The 21,293-nt window shown below is 41.0% G+C and overlaps 1 protein-coding gene across 21 annotated transcripts in view, besides 1 other annotated feature; it reads left to right on the top strand.

The window, feature by feature from the left end:
- The window catches only part of CPEB3 (cytoplasmic polyadenylation element binding protein 3), a 244,542-nt gene extending 236,167 nt beyond the window's left edge, over positions 1 to 8,375 (top strand). For all 21 annotated transcript variants that reach the window (XM_047424810.1, XM_024447895.2, XM_011539517.3 and 18 more), the window contains one exon: positions 2,628 to 8,375. In XM_047424810.1, the coding sequence (XP_047280766.1) occupies positions 2,628 to 2,855 (228 nt within the window). In that variant the 3' untranslated portion in view covers positions 2,856 to 8,375. The remainder of the gene's footprint in view (positions 1 to 2,627) is intronic.
- Positions 8,437 to 9,113: an enhancer, noted in NCBI's record as "H3K4me1 hESC enhancer chr10:93805711-93806387 (GRCh37/hg19 assembly coordinates)". NCBI's record gives its function as "activates a minimal SCP1, AML or CMV promoter by ChIP-STARR-seq in naive H9 embryonic stem cells {active_cell/tissue: H9 hESC(naive)}" and the evidence as "EXISTENCE:reporter gene assay evidence [ECO:0000049][PMID:30033119]".

Raw genomic sequence — 21,293 nt, 5'->3', positions numbered from 1 at the left:
GTAATGGAAATCTTTTCTCATCAACTGATGGAGCACTAATTAAGTCTTTTTCATGGCTGCATGATATTCCATGGGAATAGATAACCCACATTTTATTCAAGTGTTTCCCTGTAGGTAGACATTTACTTTGCTTCTGATTTTTTGCCATTGTGGACAAGTCTTGCAATGGATATACTTTACATAGGTCCTCACATCTGGTGGCTATATTTCCAAGCATTGGGATTACAGCAGGAACAATATCCAACTGTGGGATTCTTGGGTCAAAGGGTATACATATTTTTAATTTGAATAATTTGCTAGTTTGCTTTTCAAAAATGTTGTAGCAGGCCAGGTGTGGTGGCTCACTCCTGTAATCCCAGCACTTTGAGAGGCCAAGGCAGGTGGATCACCTGAGGTCAGGAATTTGAGACCAGCCTGGCCAACACGGTGAAACCCCATCTCTACTAAAAATATAAAAATTATATTTGGGTGTGGTGATGGGCGCCTGTAATCCCAGCTACTTGGGAGGCGGAGGCAGGGGAATCGCTTGAACCTGGGAGGTGGAGGTTGTGGGAGGTGGAGGTTGCAGTGAGCTGAGATTGCGCCATTGCACTCCAGCCTGGGCAACAAGAGTGAGACGCCGTCTCAAAAAAAAAAAGATGTAGCAATTCATATTTCTATCAGCAAATGATGAGAAATAGTTATCAGTCTTTTAAATGTTTGCCAGTCTGATGAGAATAAAATGGCATCAGTTTTTCTCCTGACTACGAGTAAATATGAACATCTTTTTTTTTTTCTTTAAGAGCCAGGGAAACAGTATGCTGCTCAGGCCAGGCTTGAACTCCTGGGCTCAAGTGATCCTCTCACCTCAGCCTCCTGAGTAGCTGGGATTGCAGCTGCTTCCCACCACAACCAGCTAATACAAATATTTTTATGTGAATTGTCTGTGAATTCTTATGTGAATTATTCTCTATGCATTTCCCCATTGAGTTGTATATCTCCAAAGAAGATATACAAATGGACAACAAGCACATGAAAAAAATGCTAAACATTGTCAGTCATTAGAAAAATGCAAATCAAAACCACAATAAGATACTATTTCGACCAGGCATGGTGGCTTACGCCTGTAATCCCAGTACTTTGGGAGGCTGAGGCAGGCAGATCACCTGAGGTCAGGAGTTTGAGACCAGCCTGGCTAACATGGTGAAACCCCGTTTCTACTAAAAATACAAAAAATAAGTCGAGTGTGCCAGGCATGGTGGCTCACGCCTGTAATCCCAGCACTTTGGGAGGCCGAGGCGGGTGGATCACGAGGTCAGGGGATCGAGACCATCCTGGCTAACACAGTGAAACCCCGTCTCTACTAAAAATACAAAAAATTAGCCAGGCGTGGTGGCGGGTGCCTGTAGTCCCAGCTACTCAGGAGGCTAAGGCAGGAGAATGGCGTGAACCTGGGAGGCGGAGCTTGCAGTGAGCCGAGATCGTGCCACTGCACTCCAGCCTGGGCGACAGAGCAAGACTCCATCTCAAAAAAAAAAAAAAAGAAAAAGAAAAAAATTAGCCGAGCGTGGTGGCGCACTCCTGTAATCCCAGCTACTCGCGAGGCTGAGGCAGGAGAATCACTTGAACCTGGGAGGCAGAGTTTGCAGTGAGCCGAGATCGCACCACTGCACTCCAGCCTGGCGACAGAGTGAGACTCCATCTCAAAAAATAATAATTAAAAAAAAAAATGATAAAGTTAATGATGTTTCTTTTCTAAAGTTTTAGGAAAGGAAAGTGGGTGAGAACGTGGTAACTTTTTTCTTTTTTTGGTTTTCAGTCATGCAGCTTTGCTTCGTTTAGATTTAAAAAGGTTCCCTAAAGGGCTATGATGAAAAGTTGTCGTCTATTGAAGTTTCCAGTGTTGGGGGGAGATTAAGTCAACAGAGAAAGTTCCAAAAATAAAAAAGCCCCAATTATTATAGTAGCTTCTTAACACCTCAGCTGTGAGTCCCTTTTCCTCTCCAGTCCATGGTATGCAATGTTGGGGTGTTAGTCTCAGGGAGCTGTGTCATTACGACACTGAGGTGCACAGCCTCACAGCAGCATCTCCCTTCAGCTCCTCCCATATTCATTGTGCCTCTTGCCCTCGGGCCTGGCTTCAGCTACAGCATCTCCCAAGGATGTGCCTGCCTCCTCCTGCTTATGGCCTTTGTCCTGGCTGCTTCCTCTCCCTGCAATGTTCTTCTTTGCCTGCATTGTCAGATGCTGCCCGGCTTTCAGGATTCAGCTCATGCGCTTTGACGTGCACAGCCCCTCTTAATCCTCCCCAGCACCCTTTGATGTAAACACTGTTATACCCATTTACAGATTACACAAATGTGTGTGTGTAATGTGTTTATGTGTGTGTAAACATACCCATTTTACAGATACAGTGATAGAGCAAACAGAGGCACAGAGATTTTAAGAATTTGTCTAATATCACGCAAGATGTAAATCAAGGAGCTTATTCCAAAGCCCATGCTCTCAACCACCATCCAGTATCAGCAGAGTTGAAAGCAGCGTCTGATTGAGACATACGTTGAAGCTATAGTGTAAACTCTCAAAAGCAAGACATGTAAGGAAGCTTTGCTAAATCATTTTTCTCTGTCTTTCCTCTTTGGGTCCAGGTTGAAGTAAAGCCATATGTGCTGGATGATCAGATGTGTGATGAGTGCCAGGGCACACGCTGTGGTGGGAAGTTTGCCCCGTTCTTCTGTGCCAACGTCACCTGTCTGCAGTATTACTGTGAATACTGCTGGGCGAGCATACATTCCCGAGCCGGGCGGGAGTTCCACAAACCGCTGGTGAAGGAGGGAGGCGACCGCCCTCGTCACGTCCCGTTCCGCTGGAGCTGAGCCACGGGCCGACCCAGCCACAAGTACTGGAGTAGATAACAAGGAGGGAAAAGAGAGGGCACTGCCTCAGGGCTTACAGTGTTCTGGAAATCTGTGCATTCGTTCTCGATTTTTAAAGAAGAATTGGGTCTTTTTATTATTATTATTATTATTTACAGTCATATTACTGAACTCAGTGTCCAGTATAATGCAGAATTGCAGAGTGTAGAATGGTACTGATTTGCACTTTGATTCACACCTTTGTCTGCTTGGTACCTTAATTTTTTATACCTGATTTGTCACTCGTGACAGTATGTAGACTGCCATTCTCATCAGCGGCCGTCAGGCTACTGTCTGTGATTCTTTTGTTTGTTGTTGTGGTGTTGTTCTGATTGTTTTGAACTGGAGCATGCACTTATTTTCAGAAACTTAGAGAGTTGCCCCTAGGACAAGACTTACCAAAGGTAATACTCGTGAGTAGGTGGCAGATGTAGCAAAAACTTCACAACAATTCAGCAATCATTAGCTCGGGTCACTTAGAGTAAGGATAACCCTTCATGAAAATAAGCCTTTAGTTGCTCTCTATTTTGACTTGTAAGGATACCTCATAAGCTGGATCTTTTATTTTTCCTTCATGTTTGATTTTTGTTTTGCCGAGGATTTTGGTTAGATCTTTTAGTATTATGTAAATTTATGCTGCAATAGCTTTTGCTGCTATTAAAATGGTATTATTAATACCATAATACTCTATTCAGGCTAGGATATCAATTAAACACAAAAACCCAACAACACACTTTTGTGATTTTAGGGATAGAGTCAGCTGCCGAACGGAGATCAGAATAGACTTCAGAAAGCTTCGGTGGAAGGTCACTATTTCTGACTGCATGTTTACTTAATCAGGTTGCTGCATGCAATAAATTTTATATCCAATGTCTAGTATAAAACGTTCCCACAATGCACAAATTAAGAATCTATATAAGCTATAAAAATACTCATTTTTTAAAAAAAGTTTTTTTCATTCAAAGAATTGGTAATTGACCGGAGGAAGGCATGCCTCAATAAATGGAATGCTCTGAATGGGAAGAGCCCATAACAGAATGACCTATATTACAACCGATATAAAACCTAGGTGTAGGATATTCTTCAAGCAAATTTGTGGATGGTAGATGAAGTACTTTGCGGTGCTCTGTTATATATTGTGAAATTTATTTTATATAGTAAAGTGATTATGTCTAACTGTGATCAAACTTAACTGTTTAAAGCCTCTGTCAGACATTAATGAACTTGACAGTTCATAACTGATATATTATAAACTAACACATGAGCTCTTAGTTACAATCTCTTAGTGCTTGCACCATTTTACATAGCTTCAGACCTTGTCCAGAAAACCAAAGAGCTCATCTTAGCTTACAAACACTAAGAATATATACAGGATATAGAGATAAGTTGTCAGATTGACAAACTAGGCACATTTTTAAGAAAGTTGTGTAATGGTGATGCTAAAGAAATGTCTGTACAAAATAAGATGGCCTGGGCAGAGTTGGTTGTCTGAGTGAGAAACTAACTACTTAATTCCCTGGATTTATCCTGTTAAGCTTGAGTAGAATGAAGGCCTGCTAGCACTAGCGTGGTCTAGAATGAAGGCCTGCTAGCACTAGCGTGGACATTTTTCTAGCATTCACCCTTGGGCTGCAGATAGTAATATATAAACACACACAATGATTGCAAGACTATGTAAATCTTTTTTTAATCTTCTTCCTATGTTTTGGAATTCTGGGGACAATCTGACTGGATATGACACTGCAGAATAGATTTAAGTCGCTGTGTTTTCTGTGCTGTGATGTCCTTGTACTGTCTTAAGTTAGTGTTGCTTGTTTTTGTTTTGTTCTCCCATGTTTAGTTGCAATTACTGGCTCTCAAGCTATAGTTTGTTTTCAAAAAGGAAAAACAAAATAGTTTTTTACTGGATTAAAAATGCTTATTTTAGAATCCTCCCCTTTTTGAGGCTTTTTGGTAATAATTGCTTTTTTCCAGCCCAGGTGTGGTTTTGTTTGTTTTTTTCTATGTTTGTGGGTTTTTTTTCATCTGTACAAGAAATTTTGTTATGCACTACTACTTTTTGTATTCTAGACAGTTTTCAAAAGTTGGCAGATTTTTTTTTTTGTTTTTAAGGAAAAAGGCATGCTTTCTGACTGACATGATCTTTTGCAATACCTCAATTTTGAAATATAGGAAAGAAAATGATATTTTCTAAGTAAGTTTATTCAGAAAAATATATATTAATTTAATTCTGCAAGAAAATGATTTAACAGATGGGTAACTTTATTTTTTTCATGCTTATTTGTGTTTTTTGAAAATGAAGAAGTTAGAGCTTTATAACTATAATATTAAAGATCATATCTAACCTACAGAAATCTACCTAATTATGTGAAAGAAGCAAAACTTTTTGAAGAAGCACCCCTCTTTCATGTATTAAAATAACACTGAGATTTTTTTAAAAGCTGGAAGATTGTACAGCATAAAGCTAAAGTGAAGGCAAAAAACATTGTCCTGAAGAATAGGTTACAAAAAATAAACTCCATTTGGTGCTGAAAGTTGTGAATAGATGGTGGAAACTACTTTCCCTTAATTTGTATATTTCTAATCAAGTGTTGATTGTGCGCGACTGACCAGGATTGTGAAAGAGTTCTTCTGTTTGTATTTTTTTAAAGAGAACTTTTTTAGTTTATTAAATTATAACATGTTCCCTTTTGTTTTGTAAATAAATGTGCCCCCAAGTTGTTAATGTTATATTAAAAGAGAGGGTCCTTCAAAAAAATTATTTTTTAAAACACAGAGGTGTTCTGACCTGCAACTTGACTGGGAAGCCCCTGGGTAACACAGGTCCTGCTGTGGCCTTTCCTTGGTGTGACACTTGAACTAGTCGATTTTTTGAAGGCTATAACCTAACCTCGACTATTTGTTGTTATGTGCAATACTGTTTGTACTGTTTGTATAAAAAATAGAAAAAAAAAAGAAAAGAAAAAAGGCATAAATCTTTATTGCAGATTTATTTTCATTGCAAACTTTAGACATTGTGATTCACTGAAATCATTTTTCTACTGTCAAATATGTACCTTTTCTTCATGCTGGTATTTTTTCAATAGTAATGTAGCCTTTGTACTGAGACAAATTTTCATTGTTATTTTTAGAAAGATTTTTTGCTAAGAAAAAAATTAAACATATTTACATATTTTTCATTTTATTTCGTATTTTCTTTAAGGAGTGCTTTCTCAATCATTAATAGAGTTGTTTCTGGGAGGGACTTTCATATCTGGTCAATGTCATAATATTATTTTGTATTTTTATTGGAATAAATTAATTTTATGATGCTAATTCTTTAAAAGTTTATTTTTTTCATTTTCAGTTATTTTTGAAGCTAAAACCTTTGTAATATTGTTACTAAAGTGTCTAGTTTTTTGAAATGCAAAGCTTTATGTATTAACTTGCTGATGTGGTTTACAATAGTGTGACAACGATGAAAATGCTTGGTTATGTAAAGTGATTGGAAATGTAATGGATAATTGGGTAATAAAATGACAGAATGAGCAGAACATGTGAGATTTTGAGAAGCCTTTTCCTTTATCACAGTGGTTTAGTGTAAGACTAGGGATGTCACAGTGCAGTTCTCTAGGGATGTCACGGTGGATTTATACAACACCAGGTGCAGCCAAACCTGTGGCCCTGAGAATGAAGTCACCCAACCGAAGTACCACTGGGTTTAAAATCTGGCTAAGTCAACAGAATGTTTCATTGCTTTTTCCCCTCTAACTCGTCATTATGTCGTGTGTGTGTGTGTGTGTGTGAGAGAGAGAGAGAGAGAGAGAGAGAAAAACTGCCACCAACTGCTGTCCTTGTGTGAGACAGTGCCTTTCTCCCAGGCCGAATCTTTTATGTGCACTGACAGTGGTGATATCGGAGTCATACAGGAAGTTGCTAAGAGGACACGGCTTTCGTGGTGTACTGCAGACCTCACCTGCAGGGTCTCACTCATGCTGCCTCCCTGTAAGGCTCAGTTGGTGGCACTGAGGAAGCACACTCGGATGTCACCACTGTCTGTGGACCCTGACTATGTGTCGGGTTGCATCTTCCTCCACACCCATGCCTGCTTCCTGTTCTGGTGCCCCTTGCCTTTCATTGTGGCAACTGCGTGCATGATCTGTCTGCCTTTCTGCTGCTGCTTTTCCAACACCCTCCTCACCTGGAAGCTGGGCAGTTAAGGCACAGTCATTAATGTGTCATTGCAATAGCACCTACAGTCAAAGCAAAAACTACAACTGCAAAACTGGTGTTGCGTAAACAGAACAGCCAATGACTTGATCCAGATAGATGATATGTTTCTACTAGTGGTTGATGGCCTCTTTCAGCTCCATCGCTATGGAGGCGAGGTTCATCAATAACTCAGAGAAACTTGTGTCCAGAGTTGGTCTTGGGTATGCTCTATGTATTCAGTTTTGTAAATAATATATAGATTAGATCAAGTTGTGATGTAAAATTTTAACTCAAATTGGGTACTACTGGTTGGAATTTTACATTAACTACAAATAAATGATTAGGAACAGAAGAAAAGTGGAAAATTCTTGCTTAGTGGTATAAAGATTATGCTTAGATTTCTGCCTATATCTTGTGTTTTATAGCTTGTTAGTGAGGCATGGGCTAATGCAGAATGTACTGCATTTATGCAATTAGCAAATAACTGCTAGTTTTCATTTTATCTATTATATTAGCAACAAAAATGGCATTTAACTGGGTAAAGCTCCTACCTAAATATTTGAGTATTGTGACATCTCTACTTGCAAGGTTTGAGTGAAAGATTAGTCACAGATTAGTGAAAAAAATGTATCTTTTTGTTAAAACTGGCTTATTTGAATGGATTGTTGCTTTTCACTAGCTTGTATGGTATGTCAGCTAACATTTGTTTTTTTTTTTCTTTTATAATAACCAAACTTCTCTATCTCAGCTGCAATAGTGTTCCATCTTACCACAGAGTGTTTTATAATTAATGCTGTTGACTTTATACCCCAAAATGGGTCAAGAAGTGGCTACATGATTAGGGGATGTTTAAATTTGTATGACGACAAAGTTAATTGCAACAAGTAGAAAACTTGGGTGCTAACACAGGATAACTTCTGCTCTTTTTCTTTCCTGGATATAGTTCTGTTGGGGTATAAAGTATTAGGTATTTGTATTTTTTGCTGTCAAAATAATGGACTTAACTTTTAGAGTGTTCACAGCTAGGATCTCTGTATTTGTTTTTCAACTAACAACTAATTTTAAATGTATTGTATCTTTTATTACCTGTTCTCTTAGATTGTTTTTTGCTAGTAACCCTTACTCAGCTTCTGCCTTTGGGGCTTGGACTAATATTGCTTGTATGGAACTACAGTACTGTGACTAAACATGGAGCTCAATGCAGCTACTGCTTACAACTGCTTAAACTTTGTAGTTTGGACTTCATTTTTTTCTGTAATAACAACTTATTAAATCTAGTTGTATGAAGTACTGACACTTGTCATCCGTTGCATTTGCTGAGGAATAACTTGGAGTATATGGTTCACATCTGGGAACATTGGTGCATTCCAATTTGCTTAACTCTTTTTTTTGACAAATCCCTTTAAAGCAGACTAAGTACAGCAGAATTCACCCTTTCTCTGACACAAGTAACACTCGTTTATGAAAAACATGCAAGTATATTTGCAACAAAGTATTTGTTGACACATGTGAACACACCTTTTTAGAGGTGCAGTTGGGTTTTTATGCCAGACTTGCTACATGAAACCAATTCTCAAAATCGCAACCAAAACAGTGGAAAGGTAGGTGTGCCACTTCGCTTTATCTTTCACACCTGGCTCTCCGATTTTTCAGAAAATGCGTCTTTTAAAAATCCCTATCGATTTTGGGTGTGCTAGAAGCCATGTACTGACTAATCCATTTAGAAAACGGATCACAAGTGGCTGCACCAGCGAATCCCCTGCGGGGCCTTCAGAACAAGCAGGGACCAGCGTCCCCCCAGCCCGGTCCCCGAGACAGATTCACTTGGGTTAGGCTGGGGTCTGGCCACAGGTATTTTTCAACTCCCCGGCGATCACCCCCATGATAGGAAACCGCTGTGTCGGTGCCTCAGGCCCATGCAGCGCCTTCCTACGGCGGTCGAGGCCAGGCGCGCCCAGTACGCCTGGAAGAGGACGGGGCCGCTGGAGAGCCGCTCTGCAGAGCGACGTGGAGCGGCTGGGGGCGTCGGGTCTTGTCTCAGGCTCCCTCCCAGGCCGCCCCACCCATAGTCTCCCGCCCGCACCCTTTCGGTCCCCGCTCCAGGTCCCACGTTCTGCCCCTCCCGCACCCAGGGGCCCTGGCCTGGGCGGTGGCGCATTTCCTCCTGGCCGCAGCCCTGCAGGTAAGCTCACCCGGGCCGGTGACCCGCGCCCCTCCGTGCCACCGGGCCTGAAGGGCAGCTCAGGGCCCACCCTGGGGGAGTCGCTCCTGGCTCTGCGCGAGGCTCAGCTTTGCACGTTGCTCTATTCAGCACCAGCTTTCACCTGGCAGGGAGCAGGTGCCCCCTATTCACCTAGGGAAACCAGGAGGCTCAGCCCTTGTGCCGCTGGGATCGGATGGAACGTTTGGAGCTCTCTGGTCCCTTTGGTCCCCCTCCCCTGGCCCAAATGGAGAGAAAAATGTGTTTGAGCCCCTTTTAAGTCTGCTTTTATTAGAAATAATAACATACATTAAGGCCACAATTGGAATCCTACTTTCAGACGGCCGGTCTGACTAGGAGCACACATTTGTCCCTTGATTTAAAAAAAAAAAGAAAAAAGGTTCCGATGTCCTAACTGTTGGTGTGAAGACGGACTAGGTAAGTAAATAGTGCCATTATGACTACTAGTGTTTATTTCTAGCGGGGAAAATCAGTCGGTAGTCCTGGCGTTCCCTGTGCCTGAAGTCTGCAGCAGCCCCGCTTGCTAATTGCATGGCTGTGCGCGACAGGCCCCATGAGGTGGCCAGAGGTTATGTCTAAGGTCCCGGCTTTACCAAAAAGAAAACTCATCACCAGCAGCGCGGATGGACATTAAGCTTTAACACTGGGCCGTGGTGATGTTTCACTAGACCTTTGGCACATGTATGTGAAGCGATATTCACATAAGCACTCTCACGCTGGAGTCAAATTTTAAATATATGATTTTAAAAATATTTTAACGAGAACTGTTCTATAAAGGGTATTGATTAACGGGGTGAGGAAAGCCCAAATTGGTGGGTCCTACTGCCATTCAAAGGATTGTCAGGAGGAAAAACTCTTTCCTCTACCAGCTAAGTTTGATTGGAGGTCTGCTAATTAACTAAAAATTAACAAAAGACGAAGTTGATCCATACGCACATGGAAGTGCACAAAAGTGGCTTCTTCCTCCATAATTAGAGATAGGGGTTTATATAACCAACAATAAGGGAAAGAGGGGGAGCTCTCTCATAGAAAAGGGCATCTATGGGAAGATCAAGTGGTTTCTTTAGGAAATACAAATGAGTTTTAGGAGATACGAAAGTTTCTGGCGATGTTTGTTTATGCAGTTGCCAATGGTCTCCATCCCTTTTCTGCCCACTAAAGCTCCCTGGGAGGGGATTTACGGCAGCTTCTCTCTCAGAAGTTTCTGCCTTTATTCAGATAAAGGAAGCTCTGAAAAAGCTCACTTTTGCATCTGTTGAATCTCAAATGTCTTTAGTTTAAAATAATCTTTGGCCGGTGCTGTGGCTCATGCCTGTAATCCCAGCACTTTGGAAGGCCGAGATGGGTGGATCACTTGAGGACGGGAGTTCAAGACCAGCCTGACCAACATGGTGAAACCCCGTCTCTACTAAAAATACAAAATTAGCTGGGCGTGGTGGCAGGCGCCTGTAATCCCAGCTACTTGGGAGGCTGAGACAGGAGAATTGCTTGAACCCGGAAGGCGAAGGTTGCAGTGAGCCAAGATGGCGCCATTGCACTACAGCCTGGGCAACAAGAGCTAAACTCCGTCTTCATCATCATCATCATCATCATCATCTTCATCTTCATATCAAGTCTGGGGTTCCAAGTGGGTCCCCACAAGCTGGAGTGCTGCTGGTCACTGAAACGTAACTGAAATTTATCTATATTCAGTCCCATTACATAGTAGTATGAAGGGAATAAAATTGAGGTTTGGGCATTGTTTGTATTTAGATAAAGAGGACTTTGCTGTAACTGCAAAAGCACTCATCTCAACATTTAATTCTGGCCCTCACGGGTCAGCCCAAGTCATGTCATTTTCTTCTTTGCTGTTACTGGTCAAACCTTTGGGTAAGCTGGTTTGGGCTCAGCTGTTAAGTTTGTTTGTTTGTTTTTTGAGATGAAGTCTCACTCTGTTGCCCAGGCTGGAGGCTGGAGTGCAGTGGCATGACCTTGAGTCACTCCAACCTCTGCCTCCAGGGTTCAAGCGATTCTCCTGCCTCAGCCTCCCAAGTAGCTGGGACTACAGGCACCCACCGCCATGCCCAGTTAGTTTTTGTATTTTTAGTAGAGACAGGGTTTCACCATGTTGGCCAGGCTGGCCTTGAACTCCTGACCTCAGGTAATCCACCCACCTCGGCCTCCCAAAGTGCTGGGATTACAGGTGTGAGCCACCGCACCTGGTCTCAACTGTTAAGCTTAAGGGAAACATTCAACTTGTCACCTTCAGTGCAGGCCTAAACCAAATGACTCCCTTTGTAAGTGGAAGAAAAACTCCCTTGGCAAGTCTTAGACCCTAAGGTGATGAGTTGTGCACCTGGTCTCTTTTTAAACAGACAGGGTCATTTTGCTCAATTTCATTACTTATCATTAAAACCAAAGTGCAGCCAGGCATGGTGGCTCACGCCTGTAATCCCAGCACTTTGGGAGGCAGAGGTGGGCAGATCACCTAAGGTCAGGAGTTCGAGACCAGCCTGACCAACATGGTGAAACCCCCTCTCTACTAAAAATACAAAAAAATTAGCTGGGTGTGGTGGCGCATGCCTGTGATCCTAGCTACTCGGGAGGCTGAGGCACAAGAATTGTTTGAACCCGGGAGGCAGAGGTTGCAGTGAGCCAAGATCGCGCCACTGCACTCCAGCCTGGACAGGAGCAAAACTCTGTCTCTAAATAAATAAATAAACCAAAGTGCAATTCCAGTACATCCCCCACTAGAATGACTAACATTTAAAAGACACAAAATGCCACGTGGTAGGGAGGATCTAGATAAGTACTGGTAAAAGTGGAAGGTGATATGTTTAGTCCATTTTCTGCTGCTGTAACAGAATACCAGAGACTGGGTAATTTATAAAGAAAATTGTTTCTCGCCGTTCTGGAGGTCAAAAAATCCAAGAGCATGGCCTTCTTTCTGTGTCATAACGTGGCAGAAGGGCAACTGAGCACTCGAGACAGGGAGAGGTACCAGCGGCCAGACTTGCTTTGTAACAACCCACTATCATGATAACTAAGCCACTCTCTAGATAACAACACTAATCCCTTTATGAGGGCTCTGCCCTCACAACCTCATCACCTCTTAGGTCCCATCTCCCAACACTGTTGCATTGGGGATTAAGTTTCCAACACATGAACTTCTGTGGGCACACATTCAAACCACAGCATGGTACAGCCATTTTGGAAAACATTTATAAAAACTGAATTTGTCTATATCCTGTGACCCACTTTTTCACTCATTGGTGTATGCCCACCAAAAATATGTAGTATGTTCAAAAGACATGTACGAGAATAATCACAGCAGCAGTATTTGTACAGCCCCAAACTGAACGCCATCCAAATGGCCTACAGTATTAGAATGGATACATTATAGCATATCCACATATGGAATCCTACCCAACAGGGAGAATGAAGATCTACAACATGCCACATTACAGAAAGATCTCACACATTTAATGTTGGTCAAAATAAGCCAGACACAAAAAGAGTACACAGTGTATGATTCCATTTATATAAATGTGCAAAGGAGTAACTGCGAGGGGGCTTGAAAGCAGCATCTAGAGTGCTGGTGAATTTCTTGATTTGGGTGTTGGATATACAAAGTGTGTTCACTTTGTGAATATTCATTGAGTTGTACACTATGATCTGTGTACTTGTCTGTAAGTTTCAATGGAGCACTAAAACCAAACAAAACAGGAGCCCTGTGAAAGTTAAAAGCAGATATTGGACAAAATGGAATTTTCTTCCAAGCAACCTTCATATAATTCACTTTTTATACTCCTGAAAACCAGATTTCCTTTCTGGCTTGTCATTGCCACCAGATGCCCACCCAGGCTGGCCTGTTTTCCCAATCACCCCAACTTCAATTTCCTTGCTCCCAGTTTTATTCTCTCCCCACCTTCAGGTTCCTTTCTGTTCTTCCTTAAGCCTACCAACATCCTAGAGGGGTTTTTGAAAAAAAAGTTTAGACAATCTGGGAGAAGGCATGGAGTAAAGAAATAAAGTTAAAAATTTCATCCATTAATCTCTGCAGTTGATTCTTGAGTAGTGAGCATCAAACACTGAAAGCTAATGACTCCTGCAGTACGTATACTGATTTGCCTACACAGCATTTTTTTTTTTTTTTTTGAGATGGAGTCTTGCACTTTCGCCCAGGATGGAGTGCAATGGTGTGATCTCGGCTCACTGCAACCTCTGCTACCTGCCCCCGCTCCCACCCCCTACCAAGGTTCAAGCCATTCTCCTGCCTCAGCCTCCCGAGTAGCTAGGATTATAGGTGCCCACCACCGTGCCTGGCTAATTTTTGTATTTTTAGTAGAGACAGGGTTTTGCCGTGTTGGTCAGGTTGGTCTTGAACTCCTGACCTCAGGTGATCCACCTGCCTCGGCCTCTCAAAGTGCTAGGATTACAGGCATGAGCTACCATGCCCAGCCTATACAGCCTTATTTAACATCCAAGATCTATGGGCCCCACTTCTACATTATAGTCTGAGTAAACATTAATTTTGAAATAGATTCATATACAGTTGTAAGAAATAAGAGCGATCCCATGTATTCTTTACCCAGTTTCCTTCTAAAACTTGCAAAACTGTATTACAGGATCACAACCAGAATATTAACATGGATCCAGTAAAGATACAGAACATTTTCATCACCTCAAGGAACACTCAGGTTTCCCTTTTACAGTTACACCCACTTCCCTCCCATTGCACCCTTCTTTACCCCCGGCAACCACGAATCTATTCTCCAGTTCTGTAACTTCCTTATTTCAAGAATATTAAATAAATGGAAATAGCAATATATAACCTTTTGGGACTTTCATTTTTGGGCATAATTATCTGGAGATTCATCCCATTTGTATGTATCAATAGTTCATCCCTTTTTTATTGCCAAGTGGTAGTCTGTGGTATGGATGCACCAGTTTGTTTAACGATTTACTTGCTGAAGGACATCTGGATTGTTTCTAGTTTTGGGCTATTAAATAAAGCTGCTATAAACTGTCATGTACAGGTGGTTGAGTGAACATCTCTTCATTTTTTTCTGGGATAAATGCCCAGGAGGGCAACTGCAGGGTCATATGGTAGTCTGAAGTTTAAGAAAGTACAAAACTCTTTTCTAGAGCAAATCTACCATTTCACACATCCACCAAAATATGAGTGATGCAGTTTCTCTGAGTCCTCATGATTTGGTATTGTCACTACTTTTTATTTTGGTCATTCTGATAGGTGTGTGGTAATATCCCAATGTGGTTTTAGCTTCTATTTCCCTAATGGCTAATACTGTGGAACATTTTTTCATGTGCATATCTGCCATTTTTTATATCCTCTTCAGCAAAATGTCTCTATATCTATTTTCTGACTGGATTGTTTTTATCATGTGTCTTTTTTTTTTTTTTTTTTTTTTTTGAGACTGTCGCTCAGGCTGGAGTGCAGTGGCATAATCTTGGCTCACTGCAACCTCACCTCCCGGGTTCAAGTGATTCTCCCACCCCAGCCTCCCCAGTAGCTGGGATTACGGGTCTGTGCCACAACACCCAACTAATTTTTTCTATTTTTAGTAGATACAGGGTTTCACCGAGTTGGCCAGGCTGGTCTCGAACTCCTGGCCTCAAGTGACCCACCTGCTTCAGCCTCCCAAAGTGCTGGGATTACAGGTATGAGCCACCGCGTCAGCCCCTGTGGCTATTCTTTTTTTGTTGGTTTTTTTTTTGAGACGGAGTCTCGCTCTGTCGCCCAGGCTGGAGTGCAGTGGCACGCACCCACTACCACGCCCGGCTAATTTTTTGTATTTTTAGTAGAGACGGGGTTTCACCGTGTTAGCCAGGATGGTCTCGATCTTCTGACCTCGTGATCCGCCTGCCTTGGCCTCCCAAAGTGCTGGGATTATAGGCGTGAGCCACTGCGCCCGGCCAATTCTTAAGTTATTTTACAGAGCAATTTAAAAGTGCTCAAATGGTACCGAAAATTGATCAGATAGTACAGAGTTCCCCCAGAGCCTCTCAACATCCTTCCCCCAGTTTCTCCTATTATTAACATCTTCTTGCGTTAGTGTGGTCTTTTTTTTTTTTTAAATATAGCTGTGCTTGGAAAAGTAACAGCTAAAATGTGGTACATTTTTAAGGATCAGCAATTGTTTCATATGGATACATTATTATTAACATCCACAGTTTACATTAGGGTTCACTCTTTGTGCTGTACATTGTTGAGTTTTGACAAATGCATAATTTAACCACCATTATATAGTGTCACACAGAAGAATTTAACTGCCCTGAAAACCCCATGTGTTCTAGCTGTTCATCCCTTCTCTCTCCTCTGGACCCCTGGACTTTTGACTGTCACTATAGTTTCAGCCTTTTCCAAAATGTCATGTAGTTGGAATCACACAATATGCAGCCTTTTCAAACTGGCTTCTTTCACACAGCAGATGCATGTAGGGTTCCTCCGTGTGTTTTCCTAGATTCATTACTCATTTCTTTTTAATCACTGTATAATATTTCATTATATGAATGTACCTTTTTTAAAAATCCATTTACCTACTGAAAGACATCTTGGTTGCTTCTTGTTTGGTGCAATTATGAATAAAGCTGCTATAAATAGCCATGTGCTCAAGTTCTTATGCTCTGACAAATATCCATGTGCAGGATTTTGTGTGGTTCTTCTGCTCTGACAAAATAAATATCCATGTGTAGGATTTTGTGTGGACATAAGTTTTCAATTCATTTGGGTAAATATCTATGAGTATGAGTGCTTGACTGTATAGTAAGACCTTGTATTGCTTTGTAAGAAACTGCCAAACTCTTCCAAAGTGGCTGTACCATTTTGCATGTTTCTACCAGCAATGGGTTCCTGTTGTTCTGTATCCTTTTCAGCATTTGGTATTGTGTTTTGCATTTTCACTGTTCTAAGAGGTGTTTAGTGGTATCTGGTGGTTTTAATTTGCAATTCCTTAATGATATGTGACATATAGCATCTTTTCATATGCTTATTTGCCATCTGTGTATCTTATTGGGTGAGGTGTCTGTTCAGACCTACTGCCAATTTTTTAACTGGGTTAATAGTTTTCTTTAGTTTTAAGACTAAACTCAAATTTTTGCAAAATTCGGATACAAGTCCTTTATGTGTTTTACAGATAGTTTTCTGTTTGTGGCTTTTCTTCTCATTCTAGTGACAGATTTTTTTTTTTTTTTTTTTGAGACGTAGTCTTGCTCTGTCGCCCAGGCTGGAGTGCAGTGGCATGATCATGGCTCACTGCAACCTCTACCTCCCGAGTAGCTGGGACTACAGGCATGTGCCACCATGCTCGCCTAATTTTTTTATTTTTTACTTTGTAGAGATGGGGTTTTGCCATGTTGGCCAGGTTGGTCTTGAACTCCTGCCCTCAAGTGATCCACCTGCCTTGGCCTTCCAAAGTGATGAGATTACAGACGTGAGCCACGGCACCCAGCTTAGCATCTTTCACTTAACAGTTATTTTCTTTCACAGATGGTGTCTTTGGTGTTGTATCTAAAAAGTCATCACTAAATTCTAGGTCATCTAGATTTTCTTGTATGTTATTTTCTGGAAGTTCTATAGTGAGGATTTTTGCATTTATGTTCATGAGAGATATTGGTGCATATTTTTCTTGTAATGTCTTTATCTGGTTTTATATTAGAGTACAGTAGTTCACAATAGTCCCCCCGCTTATCGGTGGTGAATATGTTGACCCCCAGTGGATGCCTGAAATCACATAATACTGAACCCTATATATACTATGTTTTCTCCTATACATACATGCCTATGATAAAGTTTTTTAATTAGGCACAGTAAGAGCTTAACAACTACTGATAAAATAGAAGAATTATATTGTTATGCAAATGTGGTCTCTCTCTAAATCTTTGCCATACCCACCCTTCTTGTGATGATGCAATGATAAAATTCAATGAGGGGAAGTGAGGTGAATGGTGTGGGCACTGTGATGTATGTAGCCTTAGGCCACTTTAACCTGATGATATTAATACCTCAGGGGGATCATCTGCTTCAGGTGATCCTGGATCGTCAAGCTGTAATGGTGTTGATGGCTGGATGTCAGGAGCAGACAATATCAGCCACCATGGGTGGTAATGTATACAGGTTATGAATATCCTAGACAGGATTATTCACACCCGGGTGAAATGGAGCAGGATGGCAAGAGATTTCATGAAGTTACCCAGGATGGTGCTTAAACTTACAAATTGTTTATTTCTGCAACTTTCTATTTAATACTTTCAGACCACAATTGACCACAGGTAACTGAACAAGAGGAGGCCAGGCACAGTGGCTCATGCCTGTAAACCCAGCACTTTGGGAGGCCGAGGCAGGTGGGTCACCTGAGGTCAGGAGTTTGAGACCAGCCTAGCCGACATGGTGAAACCCTGTCACTTCAAAAATTAAAAATACAAAATTAAAAAATACAGAAATTAGCTGGGCATGGTGGCACGCACCTGTAATCCCAGGTACTTGGGGGGCTGAGGCAGGAGAATCACTTGAACCCAGGAGGCGGAGGTTGCAGTGAGCCAAGATTGTGCCACTGCACTCCAGCCTGGGTGACAGAACGAGACTGTCTCAAAAAAAAAAAAAAAAAAAGAAGGAAAGAGCAACCATGGATTGGTGGTGAGGGAGATGCTTCTGTAATGCTGTTCTCATACAACGAGCAGGAAAGAATTCCTTTGGCGTCTATCTTCTGGAAGACACTATAGAGAATTGATATCATTTCTTCTTTAGATGTTTGGTAGAATTCATCTCAGTCTGGAGCTTTCTGTTTCAGAAAATTGATTCAATTTCTTTAGTATATATGGGCTCAGATTATCTATTTCTCCTTGTGTGGATTTTAGTAGATTGTGCCTTTCAAGGAACTGATCCGTTTCATCTGTTGTCAAATTTGTGGGCAGAGTTGTTAATCCTATTCCTTTATTATCTTTTGAATACCCATGTTCTCAATAGGGATGGCCTCTCTGATATGAGCAATGTCTTCTTTTTTCTTTGTTAGCCTGGTCGGAGATTTATCCTTTATTGATTTTTCTTTTTCCTATTTTCAACATCATTTTTTTTTGCTCTAATTTTTATTTTTCTCCTGTTTGCATTAGTTTTATATTACTCTTCTTTCTCTAATTTCCTAAAGTGAAAGCTTAGGTTTTAGATCTTTCTTCATTACTAACTGCATTCAATGCTATACATTTCTCTCAAGTGCTTTTACCACATCCCATCAAGTTGTATTTTCACTGTCTTCAAAATATTTTTAATTTCTCTTGAGATTTCTTCTTTGACCCACATGTTAAACCCCCAAATATTTGGAGATTATCCGGCTATCTTTCTGTTAACTGATTTGTAGTTTAATCCCATTGTGTCTAAGAGCATACTTAAGTTTGTTGAGGTGTGATGGACCAGAATATGGTCTACCTTGGTCAGTGCTCCATGTCAGCTTAAGAAGTATGTTTACTCTTCTGTTGACTATTGTTCAGAAAATCCTAAGGATTTTCTGCCTGTTAGATCTGTCAATTATTGAGAGAAATGTGTGAAGCCTCTAACAGCAGATTTATTTCTCCTTGCAGTTCTGTCCATTTTTGCCCCCACATATTTGGATGCTCTGTTAGGTGTGTACACATTAAAAATTGTTATTTTCATGGAGAATTGGTCCCTTTATTATATAATGCCCCTCTTTATCTCTAATAATTTTGTTATTAATTCTTTGAGCTATCCCAGCTTTCTTTTTGTTAGCAGTTTTCTCGATCTCTTTAATTTTTTAATTGAAGTAAAAAAAAAAAAATTACCTTAACCACTTCTAAGTGTTCCATGAACATGGTACATCTATTTTTGAAGGTCTTTTTGATTTATCTGTTGTATAGTTTTCAGCAGACCTTTTACATATTTTGTAAAACTTTTATCTACTTCCTGGATTTTGTTGCTTGCTAAATCACTTAATTCTAGAAGCTTTTTTGGTAGATTCTTTGGGATTTTCCACCCGGTCATGTTGTTTGTGAATAAAGCAAGCTTGCTTTCTTTCTAATCTGTATTGTCTTCATATTTTTACTGTTACCATACTGGCTAGGATCTAAGGTATATTGTCGGAGCACAGAAAGAGGACAGTATGTATGATTTCAATTTCTTGAAATTTGCCAGAAGTTATGGCTCAGCATAATGGTCACTTTGGGTCCATGTTGCCCATGAGCTTCCAAAGAATGTAGAATGTATTCTGAAGTTGTTAAGTTTCTCTCAGCTAGGTGCAATGGCTCACACCTGTAATCCCAGCACTTTGGGAGGCCGAGGCAAGTGGATCACCTGAGGTCAGGAGTTCAAGACCAGACTGACCAACACGGTGAAACCCCGTCTCTACTAAATACAAAAAATTAGCCAGGCATGGGGGTGCAAGCTTGTAATCCCAGCTACTTGGGAGGCTGAGGCAGGAGAATCTCTTGAACCCAGGAGATGGAGGTAGCAGTAAGCCAAGATTGCACCATTGCACTCCAGCCTGGGCAACAAGAGCAAAACTCCATCTCAAAAAAAAAAAAAAAAGTCTCTCTCTCTGTCTCTATACACACACACACGCACATATATACACACCTATATATGTGAGTATAGATATGAGTCAATTAAATCACACTTGTTCACTGTACTAAAATTGTCTATATCTTTTTGCATGTTTTCTTCTGGTCCACTTGTTTTATTGAGAGAGGTGTGTTAAAATCCCACTATGACCTTGGACTTGTCCATTTCTTTTTGTAGTTTTGTCCATGTTTTTGAAGTGCGTATTAATTTAGAATTGCTTTATTCTCCTGGTTAACTGAATCTGTTTTTTTTTTGGATGTATGTTTTTTGTTGTTGTTGTTTCTGAGACTGATTCTCACTCTGTCGCCCAGGCTGGAGTGCAGTGGCGTGATCTTGGCTCACTGCAGCCTCCGCCTTCCAGGTTCAAGCGATTCTCCTGTCTCAGCCTCTCAAGTGGCTGGGGACTACAGGTTTGCAGCACCATGCCCAGCTAATTTTTTGTATTTTCAGTAGAGACGGGGTTTCGTCATGTTGGCCAGGCCATTCTCAAACTCCTGACCTCAGGTGATCTGCTGGCCTTGGCCTCCCAAAGTGCTGGGATTACAGGTGTGAGCCACCACGTCTGTGCCTGAATCTGTTATCTTTAGGAGATACCCTCTACTCCAAGTAATACTTTTTGCCCGAAGGCTACTTTTTCTAAAATTAATGTAACAATGCCAACTGTTGGCTGCAGTATCCTCCTTCCTCACTCGTCTTTGAGTTTCTCCCACTGTGTCTAGTACATAGTAGGAAACAATCAGTAAATGTTCATATGACTGACAATTTTTATTCTTAAAATGTGAAATAACCATATGTGTGATTGTTTTTGTACAGCCATAAACAATATTTTGTTTTTGATCTTCATCTAAATGGACTCAAAGTATACTTTTTAAAAACTCACTGCTGTTTTGAGATTCAACAATGTTTTATTAGTTACTCATTGACTCTTACTGCTCTATAGGATTCCCATTATATAAGTAAACCCCAGGAGCTCTCATGCAGTCCCATACCTTAAAATACTGTCTTCTAAATTTCTCTCTCTAGTCTTGACCTTTTCTTTGAGTTCCAGACTCCTATATCTGCCTACCTACTCTGTATCCTTACTTTGATGCATCTAACAGGCACCTCATATTTAACATGAACAAAACAGAATTCTTGACTTCCTACTTTCCACCTCCACCCATCCCCTAATACTCCCTTTTCAGTCTTCCCCATCTCTCCCATAATACATATACCATTTACCCAGCTGTACCAGAACCAAAACTAAGATGGAAACACATGTGGTTTTATGTTGAGGCACAGCAAGGAGGACATACTGACTTGATTGGAGGTAAACATAGTGGGATATGACAAGAGACAAAGTCAGAGGGATGGGCAAGGGCCACAACTTGTAGGGCTTATAGTAAGGAATTTTGATTTGGTCTGAAGATGACAGGACGAC

This window comes from Homo sapiens, chromosome 10, assembly GCF_000001405.40.
Source record: "Homo sapiens chromosome 10, GRCh38.p14 Primary Assembly".
NCBI lineage: Eukaryota > Metazoa > Chordata > Mammalia > Primates > Hominidae > Homo > Homo sapiens.
The sequence above is the reverse complement of the archived record's forward strand: the minus strand, read 5'-3'. Positions and strand labels throughout refer to the sequence as shown.